The sequence below is a fragment of the Homo sapiens genome, chromosome 1 (assembly GCF_000001405.40).
Source record: "Homo sapiens chromosome 1, GRCh38.p14 Primary Assembly".
NCBI classification, from domain to species: Eukaryota; Metazoa; Chordata; class Mammalia; order Primates; family Hominidae; genus Homo; species Homo sapiens.
The window spans coordinates 101,871,010-101,895,685 of NC_000001.11; the positions used below are offsets into that span (position 1 = coordinate 101,871,010).

Here is a 24,676-nt window from a genome sequence, read left to right on the forward strand (position 1 = left end):
GACAGAGCAGAGTAATATGTTGACTTTATAACTCTTGTACATACTCAGTCACTGTGCAGTTACCTTATTTTTTAATAGTTTAGTTTTATATTTATCACCCTTACCAAACTCCTTGACAGCAGGAATTTTATTTTTTTAATCCCAAGAAAGTATAATGCTAAATACTTGACAAAAATCAGTAAGTGTACTTTTGTGCTGACACAGGAATGAATATGTTTTAAGACCATTTTACTTATTGTCACTTAACTATAAATCTCAAGTAGAATAACAAAATGCGTGTTGAAAAAAAGTTTTTTTAGATCCCAACAGAGAAAACACAGTCTAAACATTAAAGTTCAAATATTTTGTTTTATAAGAAAGCCCCCAGGTCATCATTCACTTTTACTGTAAACAAAATTATAATAAGGTTAGTTTTACTTTACTAGTTAATTTACTCATAGTAAATTGTGTAAAAATATTGAGTGGTTTAGCTGACATCTTCCACAGAAAGATGCATCATCAGCAGTAAGAATTGATAGCTTGACAGACTATCAATAGACACAAACCCTAAAATAGACACAAATCCTAAAACAGTTGAGAACTTTCATGTATTTTAATTTAACAATAAACATCTCCATAGATAAGTCACTCAGGCACAACAAAATCGAAGCCAAACCAAACAAATCATATTTATAATCTAAATTGTATCAAAAGAGTTAAAATTTTTGATATTTGATACCATATAAATATGATTTATAATATTATTAAATACTTTGAAAATAGAATGCACATAAATATGCATTGATATACTTTGAAAATACACTGAAACTAGAATTTACATTAAAATTATTTAAAACATATGTATTTTAGCTACTTATGTGATAGAACTTAAGTACCACAGAGAGAAGTGGTCACATTATGAGTGCATAATATGATGAACGTTGTCATAGAAAAATGAATTATTACTGTGTGATCACAAAGTCAGCTACTCACTTTGAGTTAAAGATTTATGAAATATGTTAGAGAGGTGTTAACTGAGTTGAGCGTTAAAGAATGGGTGGCAGTTTTGCAGGAGTGAAAGCAGAAGCTCAGAGAACCTGGTGTGTTTGAGAGGAAGGTAAGAAGGTTCATGTCCTTGAAGCATAGGAAGGTGAAGATTACAGATAAGTTCAGAGATGTTGAAAAGAGATGGAAAGCCTCATAGGCTATATGTGCATCAACATATTGGCAACAGGGAGTTAGCAAAGGTGTTTATCAAGGTAGTGGCATGAGAAAATTTATTTGTTTCTTTGATTTAGTCAGAAAACCCAAGTGGTTGAGTGGAGAATAGATCTGGTAAAGTTAGGTGGCTATGGCAAGAGTTCAGAAAATTTATTTTTAAAGGTCTGAAAAAGGCTAAAGATTAATGGTATATTAAAAAGGTATTTAGGATTGATTGGATAGGAGAAAATTAAGAGATGAGTGGAAGCTTTAATACATACATGTCTGATTGAAATAAGTGCTATACTTTTCCTTAGAGGGGATTTGTTTTCAAAATAAAAATTATAGCTTACTTTTCAACTTTTAAAAACAGTGTCTGTAAAAACTATTTATCTAGCTTCCCTGGAAAGATCTCAGTTGTTCTGGTTCAATCTCATTTCCTCAGAAGTTAGACTTTCCAAGTTAAATGATGATGAATGATAATTATTCTGTAATGAAACCTCAACTTGGCATCAACGAACAAGACAACATGAAATGGGGATTAAAATTTTGCATCTAATTACTATATTTTAGTAATGAAGATGAACATTTTGGTAGTTTTTAGATTTCAAAAGGCTTGTTCTATCATTTTTGCTTCTGTAGAAACTCTATTGAAGATTGTCTAGCACTCTATATCTTAATGGGTACAATGCAAAAAATAAGTTAGTTTTAGGAAAAAAAGGTATTAAATTTTAAAATCTTTAAAAACAAATCAACCTAATTTTAATTACATGATTGTAGGACATTTAAAAGCGGACATCAGCTGAAAATTTATGTTTCAGTGAATACTTAAAATTTTGAGAATATACAACTTACATTTTCACAAACTAAGTGAATTGCTAAAATAAGATGAAGTCTATCAAAATGTCACCATAAAATATAGCTACCTTAATATGAATAAACATGAAGAAGAACTGAATGGCTTCATAGAATGTGATAATAAAAACATGAGCATGAGAAGAGTGCCGTGTCCCTTTACATTGCTTCCAAGCTTCCCTTTTGTTGCTCTTCCTTCTGCATATGTATATTCATTTATAAGAACATAAGCAGGAAAGAAGAGCCTCAAGAAAATCCCAAAAATGATTTAACATTGTATTCTTGCTGTTTTATATATCACAATTTATTTTGTATGGTGGAAATTGTCTTCAATATATGAAATTCAGGCTCATAAAATGATGGGCTAATAAAATGCAAGCTTTTATATTAAAAATAGATAAACATATACATTATAATACTATCATGTTAGTCATTTGTGGAAGTTGTACAAAATACAGCAACCCTGTAAGGCCTATAGGACTTTAATTTAAGGAAAATGTAACTGGCTGGGGCCCAGGTGGGGGGTGCAAATATTGCAACTTTTTCATGGTTATGAGTACTATGTGGTAGATCTGAGTTTAATTTTTTTTTTATTTACAATGTATTTGTTCTTCCCTAGTATAAAAGAATAGTTGAGCACAGAGGAGTGTTAACCATATGGCCTGTGTTCAAATTCTATTCACACCATTTTCTAGCTTAGTCAAGTTACTAGATCTTTTTTCAGTTTTCTCTAGTGTAGAATGAAGAAAATAATGGTACTCTGAGAACTGTTTGGTTTAAATGATGCAATACTTCCTCATCATTTAAATTTTGCCGGACCAATTAAACACTAATAAATATTGACTTTTATTGTTATTCTCCAAAAATTTACATTTTATTTATTAAAATAATTAATCTCCAACTTCAAGATCTAGCAGAGAAAATATTTTGACTATTAAAATGTAATATGGCTTCAACATTTAGTTATTAATTTCTTCCTCTTACCTACATGGCTTATTATCAGCAGACTGGCCTAAGAGCAGGAATAATCATCGTAGCTTTGTAGTCCCCTAATTCTATAAGTTGGAAAAATAGTTAGGGAACTTTTTAAAATATATAATACTTTTACGATTAATAGTGATTTTTGAAAAAACCTTTTCTGCCTCTTGACCATGTGGTTTTCAAAGATTGATTATATTTTGGATGATTTCACATTAGATAGTAAATAGACACATGTCAAACTAACCCAGAGGGAAACTGGGAGAAATTCCAATGAGTATTAGTTGAATTGAACATTGTCCCCATCACTAAAATGCTAATTTACATTGGCTGTACAGCTAAAGCTATCCATGTCAAGAATGGAAGATCTAATATGTATCTTGATCATTTTTTGCCTGAACTGCAGTCAGCTGTTGCTATGGTCAATTTCTTTTCTGTATCTTTACAGTATAATAAGAATTCTAATAATATAATAATAATAATAATAGTAACAGCAGTGACAAATATTTATTGAGCATCTGTCAAATGTCTGGTACTATGTATATAATTTTGATATATACTAAATAATTTGATCATTACAGATACTGAGGCAAGTGTCAACTTGTTACTCACATTCAGTATTTTTAAGTAAGGAGTTTGAGGCTCAAAAACATTAAAATTCTTGCCCAGGGTCACACAGAATAACTGGTATTATTTTATCTCAAGTGTTAGATCTGTTGTTCTGTGTTGTGATACTGTTTGAGGTATTGAATGGAAGGAGAAGGCAGATTATCTGCAAATCTAACTTTAAGAAATAGGGGCATGGATCTAGTCTCATCTTCCCCAACTGGCTAGGTAGTTTCCAACTGGCCAGCTGGAATTTTCCCATCCTGATTTAAGTAATGAGCAGACATTACACTGAAAGTCATTGCAGAATTCTAAATCCCAGCTTCTCTTATTTGTGGATTAGACTCTCTGAGTCACAATGACTATGAATCCTCTCATAACTAACAATTTCATTAAGTAGAATTATTTCTGACCTCATAGTCCTGGCTAAAATCCATTGAAAGATATTAGTTTATGAAAAAAGTAATTAAATTCACTGTTAATGAAGAAAAATTAAATGATTCTGTATAAACAGAATTTTAAAATAGATAATCTCCTCTAGATTGGGAGGAAAAATACTGAGATGGCAGTGAGCAATCTGAAAAAACAATTAAAATACATTTCTATTAGAGCAGTGAAGCTATTTTATATGATACTGTGATGGTGGATATATGTCATTATATATTTGCCAAAATCCATAGAATGTACAACATGAATTCTACTGTGAACTGTGGAGTTTAGTTAGTGTTAATTTTTAGTTAGTGTTAATGGGTTAGTATAATGTTAATTAGTATTGGCTAATCAATTTTAATAAAGGTACCATCTTAATGCAAGATGTAAATAATAGGAGAAACTATGTGCATGTCTGTGGAATAGAAGGAAGATATAGGAACACTACTTTCCGCTCTTTTTTTGTAAACCTAAAACTTCTCTAAAAAATAAAGTCTGTTAATTAAAAAAATAAAATGTATATTCTAGGACATAAGATGAGTTAAATAGAAAATAAAATGTGTATACAAGAAGTGGTTATCTACAGTCCCTATGCTGAACTTTATAAAAGTGTCATTTCCAATATTCCATTTTGTCTGTCATCAGACCACTTGTCTCCATTTCAAAGCCATATCAAGAGCTCAAAATATGTATGCATGGAATTGAGTTGGAGAATGTCAATTCTCATACCTAACTTCCAGTAATCTTGCTGGAATGGCCCTGACAGTTTTAAAACAGCTACAAGGAAAGACTTCAACACTGTCATTTAAGTGGATGTCACAAAGTAGATTTCAGTTAAATAACAAAATGATTTAACTTTCCTTGAAGAACAATTTGCACAAAAAATGAGGAAACTATTTACATAAATGACTGGCTTGCTCATGCTAAAAGAGAATTTATCAGAATTCTCTGGCAGATTCAGTTTTGCACTCTTAATTTATTTACAGTACTTCAGATTAAAGAATTTCACAACATAAGAATGTTGTAAATATTTAAGAGATGATGCCTTAGATCAGCAATTCCTAAGGACCTCTCTGTTTAAAATTTATTTTTCCCTTATACTTAAAATGAAGATTGGGATTGTTTATAAATATTCATTTCATGGATATCTTCCCACAACTCTCTTCTTACAGCAGGAGCCACCTGCTCTGAACAGCCTTAGAGTGCAAACCATACTAAAGGGAATTGGTGAATGCCAGAAGACAGTGGTGTTAAGTGTTGGCTGGCTTCTTAAGCTCCCTCCTCCATACGGCAAGTCCAAAAGTGCCTAGGCAACGAGCACTCAGAGAAAAGATGGCTATTGGGCCACTACATACCTATACTCTGTAAAGTGCTTTTACAAAATTACTGTTACTAAGCATTTCTATATCTCTGGGATGAAGAATGTCTAAAAAAATTACTCTTACATTCAGAAATTTAGGGCAGCCAATTTAATAGCTCTAGCTCTGTTTGTATTTGTTTGTTTTAGAATAAAAACAAATTTAAGCCTGACCAAAATAAGAGATAAACAATAGATTTGTAAACAATAAAGTAGTATGCAAATAAGAGATAATTTTAGCATTAAAATTCCAAATTAAATATTGTAATTTATCTAGCTTATTAAGCTTTTTTATACTTCATTTTTTATTTTTTAATAATAATCACCCTACCTGAATTCTATATGTTAAAATCATTTAGAAGACTGCATGGTTTTTCCAGGGTTTTAGTATAGGTTGTAACAAGTCACTGTGTCATGTAATTGTGTTCATATTGTCTTGTAAATGACAGTGTCCTAAAGTGGGATGGACACAAGATTTGCAATCATCATATCTCAATTCCTTATCTAGCTCTGTCACCCTCTTAGGTGTCTGACTTGGGTTATAATTTCAGTTTGTCAACTAGAAGAAGAGAGTCCAACCTACTCACACAATATCTGAAACATACTTGTTGGTGAATGGATCCTTCACTGAGCCATTTTGAAGAACAAATGAGCTTACATATGAAAGTTTCTTTGTAAACAATAAAGTGGTATGTAAATATGCTGTAAAATATTCAGATAGTTGCAATATCTGACTATAAATGATACAAACCATGGTTATTTCTAATTTGCTGATCATTTGAAGAAGTCTGGATTCGCAAGTTGAAACTTTTAACCCAGCTGTTCATTTATGATAAAGCTTTAAGAGTGACACCATCAGTATATATCAGGATAACCAGATTCCTCTCTTTCCATTACTTCCTCCTCATTCCTGAAGGACTTCTTGATACCAGCAAGTTATTGTACCTTGACTACTATTTTAAAAGCTGGAGATCAGGAGATCAAAATCCAGAACATGAATTTCATTTTGATTAAATATGTTCCAATTTTGTTGACACTGATATTACATATTAAAAACCAGTTTTTCAATGAGCTATATTTCCAAAACAACACTATTACATAAAATAAACAGCATCATCAGAAGTTACTTTTGTATATTTTAATTTTTGTGAGACAATGTTGCATAAGAATTTTGGAATAGGAGAAGAAAGAGGGAATGATAAACAGGTAAAACCTACTTTGGGCTTTTAGTGTTTTGAGTTACTTTCATTATCAACCTGTTTTTTTTTTAAATAAATGCAAAAAATAATTTTAGTATGTACGATCTTATTAAAAATGACCTTAGTCTAAGTATTTAAAGTCACTTAGATGTTAACATTGTGTTTAAATATTTGGTCTTTAATGAAGCATTTTTTTTTCAAATTTTATTTATACAACATATTTTTTATTAAATCTTAGTTGTAACTTTAATATCATTGTAATAAAGCCTTAGTACTGTTCAGATTCCCTTAGAGTTTGCTAGATAAGTTTTTTTTCTATTTAATACTTATAAAACTGGCTTAGGATATGTATGGCTGGTGGCATCACCTTAGATACAGCTCACAAAGTGAAAGGACCTCAGGAGCATACTCTTGAGGCACAATGGGGATTTAAGTGCCTTCTCACCCGCATGTCCTAGAGAAGATACACCTGGGCACTAAGACTTTCATTTTAATGCAAGACCTTGAGACTCTGAAAGTGGAAAAATCTTTGGAGAGACCCAAAGCTGGATTTATGTCTTAGAGACATTTATCAGAGAAGTGTGGGTACTATTTTTTTAATTAAAGGGATGGTGGTTAGATTGTTTTATCTCCATTGTTGTGTTAATGGTCATATGCTTCATTTTTGGATATTGAGTGGTAGACAATGATGGTGCAGCACACCTGAATTAACTTCTCCAAACTGCTCTGTGTGGACCCCATCAGTGCCAGAGGAAGCAGATGTAAGCTTACTATGTAGAGTCCACAAAACACATAGGCATTCATATATGTTGGGTCACCCATTAAACTGGTCACATCAGAGGGAAGGTGACTTTCATAAGCTGATAAATTTATATTCTACATCAGCTACAGTGATGAATACTGATGCCATCTGTAGCACGGAGGCTCTAACACTGGCTTGAGATTAGTGGTTATAGGAAGCAGTAGGGGTAGAAATAATGGAGACAAGATTCTAGTATTGACCTGGGCTCATGCGGGAAGCCATTACCTGTGAGCTGGTGGCATCCTTAGTTGCCATGCATCTTCTGGGTCCATCTTTTGAACAATGGCAACAGAGTTCTAGGAAGCAACTCATGATGATGGCAGAAAATCTTACTAGACAGCTTTAGAAAACAGAAGCAACCACAGTCCTTGAAAACTAATGAAGAATTAGCCTTGGTACAAATTTGCGCAGTTCAGATCAGCTATAGTTCAGTTGGCAGAGAGCAGTTATAGAAATAGCTTTTAGGTGTATCTCATCACAGACTACAACCAGTAATCACTGCCCCTTAGAGAAATCATATGAGCTGCAAAATATATGTAACTGAACCACATTTGGTAACATATTGACCACCAATGCTTGTGAAAGTTCTGAGGAATATCAACAAGGGAGGGAAGCAGAGAAGGGATAATTTGGAATGAACTGAATTATCACCTCAGCTTTGAGATTCTAACAAAGTTAAAGAAAAACTATGAAACTTCTTCAGAGGATGCCACAGAGTCTCAGTGGATTGTGGCATCATCCTTTTGTCAAGAGCTAATGAGAATCCATTTTTTTGCTTAAAGCACAGGAAACATGGATTGATTTTACTAAACACTACATTTTTTTCTTTTGATGTCTGTATGGCATTATTTATATGTGCTACTGACTACACAGTATAGTTTGAATGTTGAACTTCCAAATGTATTTATAGTTCTTCTTATTCTTGATCATACCACTATCACATAAATGAGAAATTATTCCTTACAATAATAATTTTCTCTCAATTCAATGTTTCAGCTGCTTTGCTATATCTTAAATTATTTGATGCTGGGCTCTATATCATTTCACCTTCCGTTTGTAAAAGATTTTGATTGATATTGGTTTCATATTTTATATGTCTTACTGTTAATGAGCTGTTTTACTTTTTTGATGCAATACATTGGGTCTGGGTCAAAAATCATGTATTCCTATCTTTTAACATGGCTGGAATATTACTAATTCACTTAATATAAGTGGATTTATATAGAAGCCTAGATTTAGCTATGGATTGATTGAATGCCATTTTGGTAAATGTAATTCTGAATAGCAAATAACCAAATATCTTTTATTCTGTATTCAGTAAATTTTAATTTAAAGAAAAGTGATGCAAGGTTTACTTGGTAAATGCATTTTCTGAATTTCATAAATATTCTGAATCAGTAGTCACTCCTTTATGAATCTGTAAGAGGCCAAATAACACCCTAAAATAAAGTTTCTCTTAAATTGCATTCTTATTGTAAAGAAAAATAGCATATAATTGATGAAAAAGCTCACAACATTCTTTCCTCCATCTCCTAAAATCTGGGATTATAAAAAGAGCAGCTGTACAACAAGCATTCAGGCCTTTTACTATTAGAAAGCCCATCTGTTTTTCTGTACTTTTGCCTAAATTTTTAATAATTATGTCTAGACATGTGACAAAAACACATAGAGATTAACTATTTCTTCACTGATTACAACTTTAGAAATGAACCCCATGAAAATTCACACTACATAATTTAATTAGTTTTATTTTAAATACAGAGAATGAAAATTTCATCATGAACAGGGTTTCACCACGTTGGCCAGGCTGGTCTCAAATGACCCTCCTATTTTTAACTTGGATACCTGCTATTCTGCCAAAAGACAGTTTCTAGAGTAGTTTTGAATGGGTTGATTTCCCCCAGTCCCACAAACTCTGAAGCCAGTGTCTAGCTTACTAAAAAAAGAGTTATACATAATATTTAAGATGCTGAGTATTTCATAGGAAAGCTGACTGCTGCTGTAAAGTGCTCTTTAAATCTTTTTTTTAAATCCCTTTCTAATGAATGAAACTAGGGGAATTTCAGGGGACAGAGATGGGATTTGTTGTATGATAAACTGTATGTAGTTTTCAGTCTTTCTGTATTGAGAAGCCGTGGTTGGGGCATTTTTAAGATGGCTGGCTACTCTTGTTTTCCCTCATGATAATAAATTTGTCATAACTCAGTAACATGGACTTGCCCCTAGAGGTAGTTGTTAATAATTTTGAAATATTAAGGTCTTGCCAAGCTTCTGATGATTCAAACCTGTACTACTGATTATTAAGCAGGACAGACTGAGCTTTCTGCTGCAAATACCTTGGAGGAGAAAGTAATTTCTAAATATACAGAGAGGTAACTTGACTATATATGTTGCATCCTGTGCCTCCCTTCATATTAATATTTGATAAAGATTTTAATTCATATAAAACTTCTAAAGCAGAATCAAAGCTCCTCTTGGGGAAATGGCAAGTCTTTAGGACAGGCGAGACCCTGTATGCATAGTACCAAAGCATTACCACATGGTAGAGAACACACTCGATTAAAAATGTTAAGCTATCTGAAAAATAAAATATGCAAGTCTTCAGGATGGCACAAAACAAAGGTTAATACTTTTTGGGACACATTTCTTAGCGGGCTTGCTGAGTGTGTAAATATAATCAACTTTTGTTTGTGTTACATGACTTTGATGACTTCATTGAAAATCTGCACAATTCAGTTTCAGCTCTGGATAACTTCAGTTGACCTTTGTGAAGGTTTTTATCTGTGTAGAATGGGTGTTTGACTTGTTTTAGCCTATTAAGTTTTTATTTTCTTTCACTCTGTATTAAAAGTAAAATTTACTAAAAGAAAAGAGGTTTGTGTTCACATTAAATGGCTTTGGTTTGGCTTATTTTAGTCAGGCTTTCTGAACATTGAGATATCCTGAACTTAGAGCTCTTCAATCCTAAGATCTTCATGAAAAGCCTCTCACTTGAACCCAAACCAGAGTACTCTTACTGCCTCTTTTCTAAATGTTCAGGAAAAGCATTGCCAGTTCAGTCTTTTCAGAATGAGGGAGAAACATTTGCCTGCCGTATAATAATAAGACTCAGTGCTTATTTTTTAAACTGCATTTTAAAAATTGGATAGTATAATAACAATAAGGAGTAAGCCACCTTTTATAGGCACCCTGTAGTTTTATAGTTCTTAATCTAAATATTTTATATTTCCTTCTTTTGGAAAAAAACCTACATGCTACAAGCCACCATATGCACAGACTATACAGTGAGTTGAGTTGGCTCTCCCACAGTCTTTGAGGCGAATTACAAAAGTCCAGCCACTGTCATCCTCCTGAGTTATTTTGAAGTGATTTTTTTTTTTTACATTTTGGCTGCAGTATTGGTGGTAGAATATACTATAATATGGATCATCTCTACTTCTTTCTTTATTTATTTATTACTAGACCTCAACCACAGTCTTCTTTTTCCTCTTCCACCTCTCTTTGCCTGTAGGGTGTACTGTATGTAGTCATGTACTTTGTATTAATATATTAGAAATCTACAGATCTGTTTTGTACTTTTCATACTGTTGGATGCTTATAATCAAAACTTTTACTAGGGTATTGAATAAATCTAATCTTATTAGAAAAGAAAAAAAAGAAAATTTAGTCATGAAATACACAGACACACACACATACACACACACACACACGACATTCATTTGATTTTAAAATACCATTGAGTATAAGATGCGACATTAAAATGAAGATTAATGGTGTTTTGGAAAACTACATAAGTATTGACTATATAACAATCAAATTTTCAAAAATGTTATATCCAAAAATTTATGTATGTCAAAATCAACAAAACAACACTATGTTATTTCTACCCTTAATATAAGTGCATATATATATATATAATATATATATATATATATAAAGATTAAAAGAATTCTGCCAGTTCTGATATTGTTATATAATCATATATAGAATATCCATATATATTGGATTAGGGTGACTAAAAATTACCAGGCAAATCTTTAACTAAGCCATCTTTCATGTCTATGCAAACCCAACTCAGTATAGGTTGCCAATCCTGCAGCCAGGGCTGCCTATAAGATAGTATTGATCTGGATCCCTGAGAACTCCTGGAATCTGGAGAACTGCTTTTTCTACCGGGACAACACTGATGTAAGCATGACAGGGCATGAGAAGGTAAAGTGAGAGATGGTTGCTATAAGTTTGACATCTGCTTCATTTTGGTGCAGAAGACCACAATCTAGATAGACTCTTGGGCAGTACCAGATGACACTGCCCCAGATGTAATTGCCAGTAGTGAGCAAACCTATGAAGATTTGACCAACCTCAACAAGGCAGGGACAGCTGCCAAGGATGGTGAAGTCCAGGAAATCATCTGGTGTTTTATGAAGTCCGGTCTCCTGAGAAGGAGCCTGATCACCTGTTTTACAGTAACAACAGTAAGGTTAAAGTAGACATGAAAAATAAAATTGTCTCCCATTTGACAATTTTATCTTTCATATCTACTTACCCCAAAGAATCTAGTCAGAATGTCTCTGGGCATAGTTCCTTAGTTCAAGGCTTTGGGTAGTGGTCTCTTTACCAAAGACCTTCTTGAGTGAAGACAGGAAGGAACTAAGACGTGACCAGTGAAGATCAAGTGAGCCTAAGGTTACTTCTATCAGCCAATCTTACTCTGCAAAACTGTCCCAGGTAGCTGTCATCTTTCCAGTGAAATAGAAGATGAAGGTAACCAGTATTACAGTTTTAAAAAAATCAATGTTTTTAGCTTGACTCCTGGAGGATCCTTGTTAAGATCAAACCTGAATATTTGTCTGCTTATATTTACAGTTATATATATACTATATATAATATATATACACACATATATACAATTTATATACTCTATATATACACACACACACACATATATACACATATACAATTCAAAAATGTAGAAATTCAGATTTCTACTTCCAAATAAAATAATATAGTCATAAAATATTTCAAGCCATTTCTTATTCCACTGTGGTATAAGCTCCCCAAGTGGTAGGAGGAGTACCTCCTATTGTATATTTCAGAATCCGTTCCTTCCTTACCAATGTGTGTCTGTGACATACCCTTAATGTCCTTGATAATGTCCAATTATGTCTTTCACTGCATCACCTTCCTAAAGCATGTTCTAGTTACTTGGCTTTTCCACCTGGGAACAATATCAATTTTAGTATAATTACCTGTCTTTCTCTTTTTTTGCCAGAATAATATGAAAAAGAAGTGACACGCAATTAACAATAATTATTATATCTACTTACATACATATAATTGCATTTTTGTATTCTCAAGAACGTATACTTTTAGAGTTACAGGTTACATGTGTAAAAGACAAACAGCTTCAGAGTTAAATACATCCATGACATTCATAATATTTAGATAAGAAACATTAAGAGTAAAGGACAAGACAGCGGGTTCCATCTGGCCTTACAAATGGAAATAAAAAACTTACTATCTTTTTTTTTTAATCCTGGTCTGTATTGATTCTCATCTTTTAAGCCACTATCACCAAGAGTCTTAAAAATAAGAAAGAATGTTTAGGTTTATTTATCAACATTTGTTCACAGCACCATCAATGATCTAGAAGAATCTGCACCTTCCTTGACTTCTTAGATCATCTGTTTTCCAGCCCCTTCTATGGACTTTCTGGAGCCCCAGACCTCTCCCAACATCCTCTCTATTTTCCTGCTCCCCTTGGCATTTCCCTCTTTACTTTTTTCATGTTTAATATGTTTTATAAAAAAGAAAAGTCATTATATGAGAATTTAAAGTAATACGAAGGTGAGGAATCTAAAGCTGGATAATTTAGTGCCAGCAAAGGATGGTTTAATGTTTTCCCAAAGAGATTGACTTTAAAAATGTCAAGATAACAGGAGAAGCAACCTCTGTTAACCAAGAGGCAGCAGATAAGTTCCCAGGCACCATTAAGAAAATTGTTGAGAAAAAAGGACACCTTTCTGAACCTGTTTTTAATGCAGGGATAAGTGCCCTATTCTGAAAAACAAAAACAAAAACAAACAAACAAAAAAAAACAGACAAAAAATGCCACAAGGGACATTTATTAGTAAGGAAGAGAGGCGAGCACCAGGATTTAAGACAGAAAGTAATAGGCTAACTGTAATATTTTGTGCAAATGCAGTCAATTTATAATCAGGACTGCCCTATTAAAGCCTTGAAAGGAAAAGATAAATACCAGCTGCCAGTCTTTTGGTTGTACAATAAGAAGGCCTGGACAATGAGAATCCTTTTTCTGGAATGGTTCCATTGATGCTTTGTCCCTGAAGTCAGGAAGTACATTGTTAGTAAGGGCTTGCCTTTTAAAGTTCTTTTGATATTGCACAATGCCCCTGGCCACCCGCAACCCCATGAGTTCAATACCAAAGACCTCAAAGTGTTCTACTTGCCCTGAAACACACGTTTCTAATTCAGCCTGTAGATGAGAAGGTCATAAGAACCTATAAGGCTCATTACACATGTTACTCTATGGGAAGTATTTTCAATGCTGTGAAAGAGAACCCCAATAGACAGAACACCAGGAAAGTCCATTGAAGATGTCATTGTTCTTATAGAAAAATCCATGAAAGCCACGGAAGCCATCAGATTCCTGCTGGAGAAAACTATCCAGATGTTGCACATGTCTTCACAGGATTTACAACAGAGCCAGCCAAGAAAACTATGAAAGAGATTGTGGATATGGCAAAAAAAGGTGGCGAATAAAGGGTTTTCAGATATAGATTTTGTAGAAATTCAAGAGCTAATAGACACCACACCACAAGAATTAACAGAAGATGACTTTATGGAGATGGGAGCTTCCAAACCAGTGCCAGAAAACAGAAAGTATCTGATTATTCAAGAATTCCTTTGCTTTTTATGACATGGTCCCTTCTATGATACGAGCACTGAAATAAAGCAAATGATGGAAAAAGGATTGGTACCATATGGAAATATTTTTAGATAAATGAAAAAGCAAAAGTTAGAAAGAAATTATGATGTATTTCCATAAAGGTACATGGAGAGTGCCTGCCTCTCCTTTCTCTCCTTCCATCTCCTTCACCTCTTCTGCCTCTGTCATGGAGACAGCAAGAACAGCCCCTTCTCTTCCTTCTTCTCAGCCTAATCAATGTGAAGATAATGAGGATGAAGACTTTTATAACGATTCACTTTCATCTAATGGATAGTAAATAAATTTTCTCTTTTCTATGATTTTCTTAATAACATTTTCTTTTCTCCAGCTTACTTTGTCATACAAATACAGTATATGATACACATAACCACAAAATGTGTGTCAATTAACTCTTTATGCTATTGGTACATCTTCCAGTCAACAACAGGCTAATGTGCCAATCAATGCTTTATGCTATTGGTACATCTTCCAGTCAACAGCAGGCTATTAGTAGTTAAGTTTAGGGGAATCAAAAGTTATACATGGATTTTTGACTGCACAGGGCGTCAGCACCCCTAAGCCTCTCATTGTTCAAGGGTCCAGTGTACATGTATAGATATTAGTGACAAAGGAAGAAGTGTGTAAACACTCAATTAATATCTTATAATAAGTGATATAAAACCTTCAGTTGAATTTTTGAGTATTCAAGCTTGAGCTTAATTTGGAATATGGGCAAGAGGGAGTACATACAAAAACAAAGGTGTTTGTCTTTTAAAAAAATTTTGAGTTTTTCCTTTTGAGTTCATGCAAAAATGAGAAGGTTGCACCCTCTCCCCACAACCACCCAAGATTTGAAATGTGTAAGAAAACAGAGGCAAGGGAGGAGAAAACATACATGGTATGGAAAAAAAAAATAATAGAAAAGTGGAAAGACTTAAGTTAACTAATACTTAATTTTAAGTTGTTCATTTTGTAGAAGTGCAGCACAACTTTTGCTCAGACATTATGCAATGATACATAAAAGTCTTGGGAAGGGAGGAGGCCGGCTGGTAGGTAGGTGGAGGGTGATAATTTTGTATGTACATAAAATAAAGTGGTGATGTTTCTCATATAGTTCAGTCACAAAGCAAAGGAAAAAAGTGAAATGAGACTGGAGGGGGAAGAATCAGGATCCAAGGCATAGCATGTTAGCTTGGGGGAACCAGCCCCTGGCTACTGCAGCCATTCCAGCTAGAACATCAGACACGTGAGTGGGGACACTAGTTAAGACGACTCCAGGTGTTATCTGACTGCGGTTGCATGAAAGACCTCCAAATGAAACCACGTAGCTGAGGCCCACCAACCCACAGAGGTGTGAGACAGACAATTAAAACATCACCATATGAAGACACTAAATTTTGGGTTTGTTGCACAGCAATAGATTATTGGAACACACTCCTTTACCAGATTACTAATGAGACCATATTTTCTCCTTGTTGATTCTTTCCAATTTATTCATTAAACATTTATTAAAAGTCATCTCCTATGACAGGCTCTGGGTATAATAAGGTAAATAAAACATCATACTTTCCTCCTATGGACTACCCTCAGTTATATAATTTCTTCTCTTGAAAAATCTTGAGGGGAATTAATGGATATTTTAGTATTTGCTATTAGAACAATTAGCTAATACTCTGTAATAAGTTAATTTAGACCATTTTTTCAAATTAGCTGGAGAAAATTTTGTTTTTTTAAATAAATTATAATGCATAAAATATAGATACAGGTGAAATATTTGTATAACCTCCTGGTGAGTGAGGTTATACAAATATCAAGAAACAAAAAGCCATGAATCAAAAAATTTAAAGAGTTGACTCCATGAATGGAAAAAAAAACTTTATTGTGGCAGAAAGCATAATAAACAGAATAAAAGAACAAATATTTGAAAGAAAATAATTGTATACCTATGACAGAAAAAATGTTAAGAATGTTTAATATTAAAGAGCTCCTAGATATTTATAATAAAATGGCAAACCAATAAAATATGGAAATGCAATTTATGGAATAAGAAATGAAAATTAGAAATGAACATATAACATATTTAAAATCATTAATAGGAAGAATAAAATTTGAAAGAAATTCTCCTTAAGAGAATTTTTTCCAGTAAGATCTTAAGGTCAATAATGTCTAGGACATCTCTTAATTCAGTTTCATACAGGGAACAGGCAGTCTGTTATGCAACTTGATTGCTAAAATCTTTTCTAAATTCAGTATTATTGTACTTTGTGTCCAAGTAGTAATATAATCATCTTGGAAAATACTTACTTTCCAAAATAAAATCATCTTGGTAAATACTTATTTTCCAAAATAGTTACAATGTAGTATAAAGTGAAAAGAGGATAATCTTTGTGTATAAGTAATATAAACAACCTTAAAATTGTCTGTTAAAATTCTACAAATCCCACAGCTGAGCACATTATACAGAAAAAAAAAAGCATCAGTATATGTGGATATATATCTCATGCTTACATTTGCATTGTTTGAAAAAACATAAATGCCAATCAATAAGAATTGTTAAATAAAAAAGCATATATTCAAATTGTGTAGTATTATAGTATGCAGCTATTAACATGTGTGTTTCATTTATAATTATTGACTTGGAAAAATACTTATATTGTTAAATGGGAAAAATTAAATGTGAAGTAATTATGGCATGATTCATTTTTACTGCCCAAGGTAATTTACAGATTCAATGCCATCCCTATCAAGCTTCCAATGACTTTCTTCACAGAATTGGAAAAAACTACTTTAAAGTTCATATAGAACCAAAAGAGAGCCTGCATTGCCAAGACAATCCTAAGCAAAAAGAACAAAGCTGGAGGCATCACACTACCTGACTTCAAACTATGCTACAAGGCTACAGTATCCAAAACAGCATGGTACTGGTACCAAAAGAGAGATATAGACCAATGGAACAGAACAGAGCCCTCAGAAATAACATCACACATCTACAACCATCTGATCTTTGACAAACTTGACAAAAACAAGAAGTGGGGAAAGGATTCCCTATTTAATAAATGGTGCTGGGAAAACTGGCTAGGCATATGTAGAAAGCTGAAACTGGATCCCTTCCTTACACCTTATACAAAAATTAATTCAAGATGGATTCCAGACTTAAATATTAGATCTAAAACCATAAAAACCCTAGAAGAAAACCTAGGCCATTCCATTCAGGACATAGGCATGGGCAAGGACTTCATGACTAAAACACCAAAAGCAATGGCAACAAAAGCCAAAATTGACAAACGGGATCTAATTAAACTAAAGAGCTTCTGCACAGCAAAAGAAACTACCATCAGAGTGAACAGGCAACCTACAGAATGGGAGAAAATTTTTGCAATCTACCCATCTGACAAAGGGCTAATATCCAGAATCTACAAAGGACTTAAACAAATTTGCAAGAAAAAAATCAAACAACCCCATCAAAAAGTGGGCAAAGGATATGAACAGACACTTCTCAAAAGAAGACATTTATGCAGCCAACAGACACATGAAAAAATGCTCATCATCACTGGCCATCAAAGAAATGCAAATCAAAACCACAATGAGATATCATCTCACACCAGTTAGAATGGCGATCATTAAAAAGTCAGGAAACAACAAGTGCTGGAGAGGATGTGGAGAAATAGGAACACTTTTTCACTGTTGGTGGGACTCTAAACTAGTTCAACCATTGTGGAAGACAGTGTGGCGATTCCTCAAGGATCTAGAACTAGAAATACCATTTGACCCAGCCATCCCATTACTGGGTATACACCCAAAGGATTATAAATCATGCTGCTATAAAGACACATGCACACGTATGTTTATTGCAGCACTATTCACAATAGCAAAGACTTGGAACCAACTCAAATGTCCCTCAATGACAGACTGGATTAAGAAAATGTGGCACATATAAACCATGGAATACTATGCATCCATAAAAAAGGATGAGTTCATGTCCTTTGTAGGGACATGAATGAAGCTGGAAGCCATCATTCTGAGCAAACTATTGAAAGGACAGAAAGCGAAACACCGCATGTTTTCATTTATAGGTGGGAATTGAACAATGAGAACACGTGGACACAGGGTGGGTAACATCACACACCAGGGCCTGTTGTGGAGTGGGTCAAGGGGGGAGGGATAGCCTTAGGAGATGTATCTAATGTAAATGATGAGTCAATGGGTGCAGCACACCAACATAGCACATGTATACATATGTAACAAACCTACACGTTGTGCACATGTACCCTAGAACTTAAAGTATAATAATAAAAATCATAAAATAAAAAAGTGCATGTAATAAATTTGTATATTTGGATATACTGATCTAGCATAGATAACATATATAAAAATGTACATAAAACTTAGCAGTATTTGACTAAGAGGTAAAAGATTAAAAGGAGTTAAAGATGGTTACGTTTATTCTACATATATTTGCCATATTTAAATATATTATTTTTCTACTTTTAAATATCTTATTTCTCATATCATTTGAACCTATAATTCTACTTCTCAGAAGTCGTCTTAAGGAAATGATAAAAAAGTCAGAAAAGAGTGGAGAACAAATATTGTAATCCATATTATATAAATTGACTAAGTTGAAAATACCCAAAAAATTCAGCCACAGGGAACTGATTAAGTAAATCAGGTTGAAGTCTTAAATATGACACTTGTTCACATCAAAAGTATGTCTTTCAAAGACCTTTTAATGATCTTGGAAAATAATAGCTTTTAATGATCTTGGAACATAATGATCTTGGAAAATGATATTGGAAAATAGTTTTAATGATCTTGGAAAATATGATAATTGTTCATGTTAAAATTATGTCTTTCAAAGAGCTTTTAATGATCTTGGAAAATAGCTACTAATCTTGGAAAATACTTGGATGTAGTATAAAATGAAAAAAGGAAGATAATCTTTGTGTACAAGTAATAATACGAACAACCTTAAAACACAATTATGCCTATAGACACACACACACACACACATACACACAGAAAGAGGAAAACAATCTAGAAGAAAACTATTGTGAGGAAATCTTGCCAGGACAAGGAGTGATATTAGTTTCATTTTACTTTTTAGACTTTTCTATAATTTCTGAAATTTTTATAAGTGTCATTGGTTTTCTAATTCTCCCAAAGAATATATCAGAGCCAACATGAAAATATCACAATGAGTCAGGAATTTTGTGAATTCTTTAAAAAGGGATTAGTTGATTATCCTTCTAATTAAGGTAAAACTTTGTTTCTGATATCTGCATAAAATTAATTATTTCACATGCTTATTCACCAAGTTCATTATGCATAAAACAAAATTAAACAAACAAAAACGACTCCATGAAGTAGTACTGAATATAATGAATATCCTGAATTCTAAAACTCAATGAAAAAAGAACTACTTGATTCATTGCTTAAATAATTATAAAAATGAAATTCAAGAAATAATTTGGGAAGATTTGAGTACTAATAAAAAGAGGTAATAGTTCAGCAAATTGAAGACAACAGAATGAATTAACACTGTTGGAAAAAAATTTGCCTTCAGACAGCAAATATTTCCACTTTTCCGCAGAGACCATAGTCTTTCATGCCTTATGCAATATAGCCTAACCAAATATTTAGATAATCTGGGAATTCAATTTAATGAAACAGCCTCTTTTCCAGTACATTATTAGTAATACATTAGTTTTCACAGTGATTTAGCAAATTTATCTTTCTAATTATTTTGGTTGAACTAACGTCAGCACCCTGTAGACTGTTCTTGGTGCAAAAGAATATTTCTTCCACTCAGGTCTCAGAGTTTGGAAGGATTTAGCTAGAGATTTTAAATTTGCACTAGTTAATCCATCCCATGAATCATTAACTTAGTATAAAAAATAAACAGTGGCTTGGGTTAAGCATAGCAATTTAAATATTTTGCAGAGATTCAGGAGGAAATTTAAAATGGTCAGTAGTTTTGAAAGAAATAATAGCGTACTTTGTCAAGTATTCCAGATAAGGGAGGTAGATACTATATGAATAACATGCTAGTTATTACTATATGAATATTAAAATAAAAGCAATAAAAATAAAACGTAAGCACTAGAGGAATAAAAAAATATTGATGAGCTGCTGATCACTATTACTCATAAGAAGCATGGTTTTGTTTGTTTTCTTAAAATTTGGACCATCCTCTCATTTTTGATGGATTTTTTTTTCCCTTAGGTTCAAAAGCCCACTGAATGTTTCATAATGTAATAAACATTAAAAACTAGTAATTATATGCATTAGATTATCTACAGTAATGTCAATTCATTTTTTGTAGACAAGCATGGTGCTTAGCTATTAAAGAAAATAAATGTTAGTGGCCAAATCTCCAATGTGTATATGCAAAGCTATCTACATTTAATATTCACTACTGATGTTTAAAATTTCAGGTTTAACATGGACATTATTTACCATGAAAATCATAAAATGTAGTTATATTTCACTATGTGTTTGTTAGAACCATATGGAATTGCCATTTTTAAAAAATATAAATGTTGAACATGGCCAATTTGATATGCATTTACCTAATACTTAGTTCTCCCCAGATCTTAAATTCGTCTTTAGGTACACTACGGATTGTAGAATTAGGCATACTGAAGACAACATTTTAAATTTTTTAATGTGTAAACTTAATTGTATAAAGCTTGAAGTTCTTTATTAGTTCAAGCTTCATATTTTCTGTGGCCCTGCTAGACAAGAATGAGATGAAACTCTGCCCTGTGTGAGACTCTATCAATTTTGTTAATAAATGATTCTGCAATTTATTTTTCCTGTTAACACTATACAGGTGTGCCAAGCAAGAGATGTATTGTACTGGTTCTAGTCTCAGTTCGGTATCAGAATGACTAGAGCAGCCTGGGGAGATAATAAAGCTTTTGTATTCTCCATAAACCCTTCTAACAACAAGCTGGTGAATATAAGAGACCCCAGCAGACAGCCAGTCAAATTTAAGCTTCTATACAAAGACTTCATCTATAGAAGCTTATGAGCAGCAACAACTGAAGAGCAGTCTTTGAGATTTGCGCATGTATCTAACAAACATACTTTTCCTAATTCCTTTTACAAAAATTAAATCTTAGTAGAAAAATATGGTCACTCTTTAACAAATTTTTAAAAATTAAACAATTTGATTTACAATATGTTTGCTTCTCTTTTCTCCTCCTTCCTCCTCTCCCATTGCCACCCTTTCCCTCCCTTTTCTTTGTCCTTTTCATTTTAATGTCCAAGGCTATTAAAGAAACTACATGATTTTCCTTACTCTTACTTTAAAAATGGTGAAAAATTTGCATTGAATTCAAAGTTTAGCCACCATTGTGGCTGATGCCCAACTCTTCTTTTCTTCTTTACTGTAAGCATTATCGTAGCCTGGGCAAAGAAATCCACAGGGGCTGGCAAACAGGCTCTTTCCAAAAGAGAATGTGTTTATAAACAAGTGTTTGTCCTCTCTATTCAACCTTTACCTATTCAAGGAACAAAAGCTAACTTTATTCATACTTTGCTATAATTTTTCCTCTTACTATTTTTGGTGAAGGGTAACAGGAAAAGTAAGATTTGAATTTTTTCAAGTAGATTGTATGGTAACATTTACATTCATTCATTTATTCATTCTAATCAACCTCAGTTCCTGAATCTTTGATGTCTCTTATAGGTGAAAGGATTTTTAATGCACCTGTGAGCCAATTTTTGGTTTCTGAAGAGGAGGAAGGATGCAGAGTAAAAGGAAATGTAAAAGTGTTGTACACCAGCTCTCAGTAACCTTAGAAGATTTATATGATGCTGCAACAAGAAAACAGGCTCTGCAAAATAATGTGCTTTGTGACAGGTGTGAAGACAGAGGTGGGGAAAAAAAAAAGGAACAGTACAGTGCTGTCATAATTGCCAAGGTATTGGAATGCAAATAAGAATTCATCAGATAGAACCCGGAATAGCTCAGCAAATTCAAGCTGTGTGCATGGAGACCCAGGGCCATGGGGAACAGATCAGTCCTCAAGATAGATGTAAAAGCTGCAACAGAAAGAAGATAGTTTTGGGAGAAGACGATTCTAGAAATTCATATTGACAAAAGCATGAAAGATGGCCAGAAAATAACATCTCATGATGAAAGAGACCAAAAACCAGGACTGGAGCCAGGAGATATTATCATTGCATTAGATCAGAAGGACCATGCTGTTTTTACTTGACAAAGAAAAGACCTTTTCATATGTATGGATATACAGCTGGTTGTAGTATTGCATGGCTTCTGAAAACCAATATCCACTCTTGACAACTGAACCATAGTCATCATCTCTCATCCAGGTCAAACTGTCAAGCATGGAGCCATCAAGCATGTGTTAAATGAAGGCAGGCCAATTTATTGTAGACCACATGAAGAGTCACTTAATCATTGAATTTAAGGTAAACTTTCTTGATAATGGCTTTCCCTTTTTTGACAAACTCCTTGCTGGAAAAACTCCTACAAAAGAGTAAAGAAGTAGAAGAGACTGATGAGATGAATCAAGTAGAATTTGTGGACTTTGATTCAAATCAGGAAAGATGATGCTGATGCCACTACAGTGCAGAAGCAAATGTGGGACCATTACAATGGAAAAGCATGAGGATGATAAACATCATTTCAGAGGTGTTCAGTGTCAAACATCTTAATGGGACCAGTGATAATACTCGCTGCTGGCATTTTATGGGCAGTAGTGAATGAGCAAAGGACTGTAATCCTAATATGCTCACTACTTGCTATTGTTTTGGTTTTACTATTCAACTAGAGTAGTGTTTTAAAAATTAAAGGAAGAATAAATACAATTTTTTTAAAAGTTGACAAGGATGAGCATGGCCAACAAACCTCTCTCCACTTTGGCAACAAATAGTTTTAAATTTGGTTTCCAGAGTAAGTTAATAGAAGGTATAACACAGAGAACCAGAAATACAAAGTGCTCTATTAGTGAGATATCAGAAGTGATTATTGCTGATTATTATCTGATATTTTATAAAACAATCTCTTTTGAGATATTAAATATATACTGAGATTCATAAAACGGTAGATACCTAAATTATCTCATTTAGTAAATCAGTGGGGCTATTTAATCCAGATAATTTAAACCCTAAGAATAATTTTATTTTCCAGTAGATTGACTTTTACTTATTTTATTTATTTTCTTTTACATAAACTCAGAGGGAATTACACTTTTTAAGACCATGTCATTTAATATTTCCAGTTTTAAAGAGAAATAGAGTATTTGGCATAATGAATGCCTATTTTACTATTTGTCTTTATGTCATATGTAATTTTTCCTCTTAAATTTTATTTTAAATGTGTTTCAAAGTCCAATAAAGGGAACACTAATACAGATTGTAATTGTATTTCAGTAATTTAAACAATTCATTCTATAACTGTGTAACTTTAAGCATCTTTACACAAATTATATATATGGAAAGGACAGGTTCCTTCTTTAAGCTTTCCAGTAGCATGTTTGGAAATATTTTCCCTACATGGAGCTTAAACATGTTATTTGTGGCATGGAAACACCTGAGAGATTTCTTTGGTTCACAACACTCAGGATACAGGGGACATGATCCCAGTAATGAGCTGTTTACTTTGTATAAACAGAATGAATACAATACTCATAAATGTAAACACCCTGCTTACTTTCAGGCCAGCTGGAATTGGAGTGACTGAATAAGACAAATGGGCTTAGGTTTAACATCTTTATTTTTAAACCCTTTCTAAGAGTAATTATGCCCTTGTACATGCTGTATAACCTTTATTTCTAACCACAATGGGACTTATTTCTCCATCAGTTTTACCACTGTTTTGGACTAAATTCCTCTATTTGCTTATTTATTTACAATTCATTGTCTTTTTTCTGTTCCACTCTACTAGAATCCCAAACCTCCACTTACCTCTGTTGCTAGAGATAAGTTATGCGTATCAGCACACTCTGACAAAATTACTCTTAAGCTAGGATTTTGACCTTAGACTTATGTGCTATTCTACCTTGGTAAAGCTCAAGAATACACACACACACACACACACACACACACACACACACTCACTCACATTTGATTACATTAAAATACACCTAAATTCCATGCTTCATTAATCATTTTCCATGAATTTTATATTAATCCTGTACATTAATGAGAGCTTTTAACAATTTCCTTTTCTACTGTTGAAACTTCAGTCTTCTATTTAACCCATTTTTGGACCTTTGATCCATGTCAAGATAGCCTGTGAAGACTGTTGAACTGTTTGGCAAGATCTCCCAAGCAGTGGTTTACAAATTGTG

At 33.2% G+C, this 24,676-nt stretch overlaps 1 protein-coding gene and 1 pseudogene across 5 annotated transcripts in view; one reads left to right on the top strand and one right to left on the bottom strand.

Annotated features, from left to right (window-relative positions):
* Positions 1-24,676, bottom strand: part of OLFM3 (olfactomedin 3) — a 194,367-nt gene that overhangs the window by 68,450 nt on the left and 101,241 nt on the right. The gene's annotated exons all lie outside the window — the stretch shown is intronic.
* DNAJA1P5 (DnaJ heat shock protein family (Hsp40) member A1 pseudogene 5) lies at positions 1,003-23,734 on the top strand (annotated as a pseudogene). Its single transcript, NR_033424.2, has 2 exons — positions 1,003-1,096; positions 22,048-23,734. The product of NR_033424.2 is annotated as a DnaJ heat shock protein family (Hsp40) member A1 pseudogene 5 (transcript).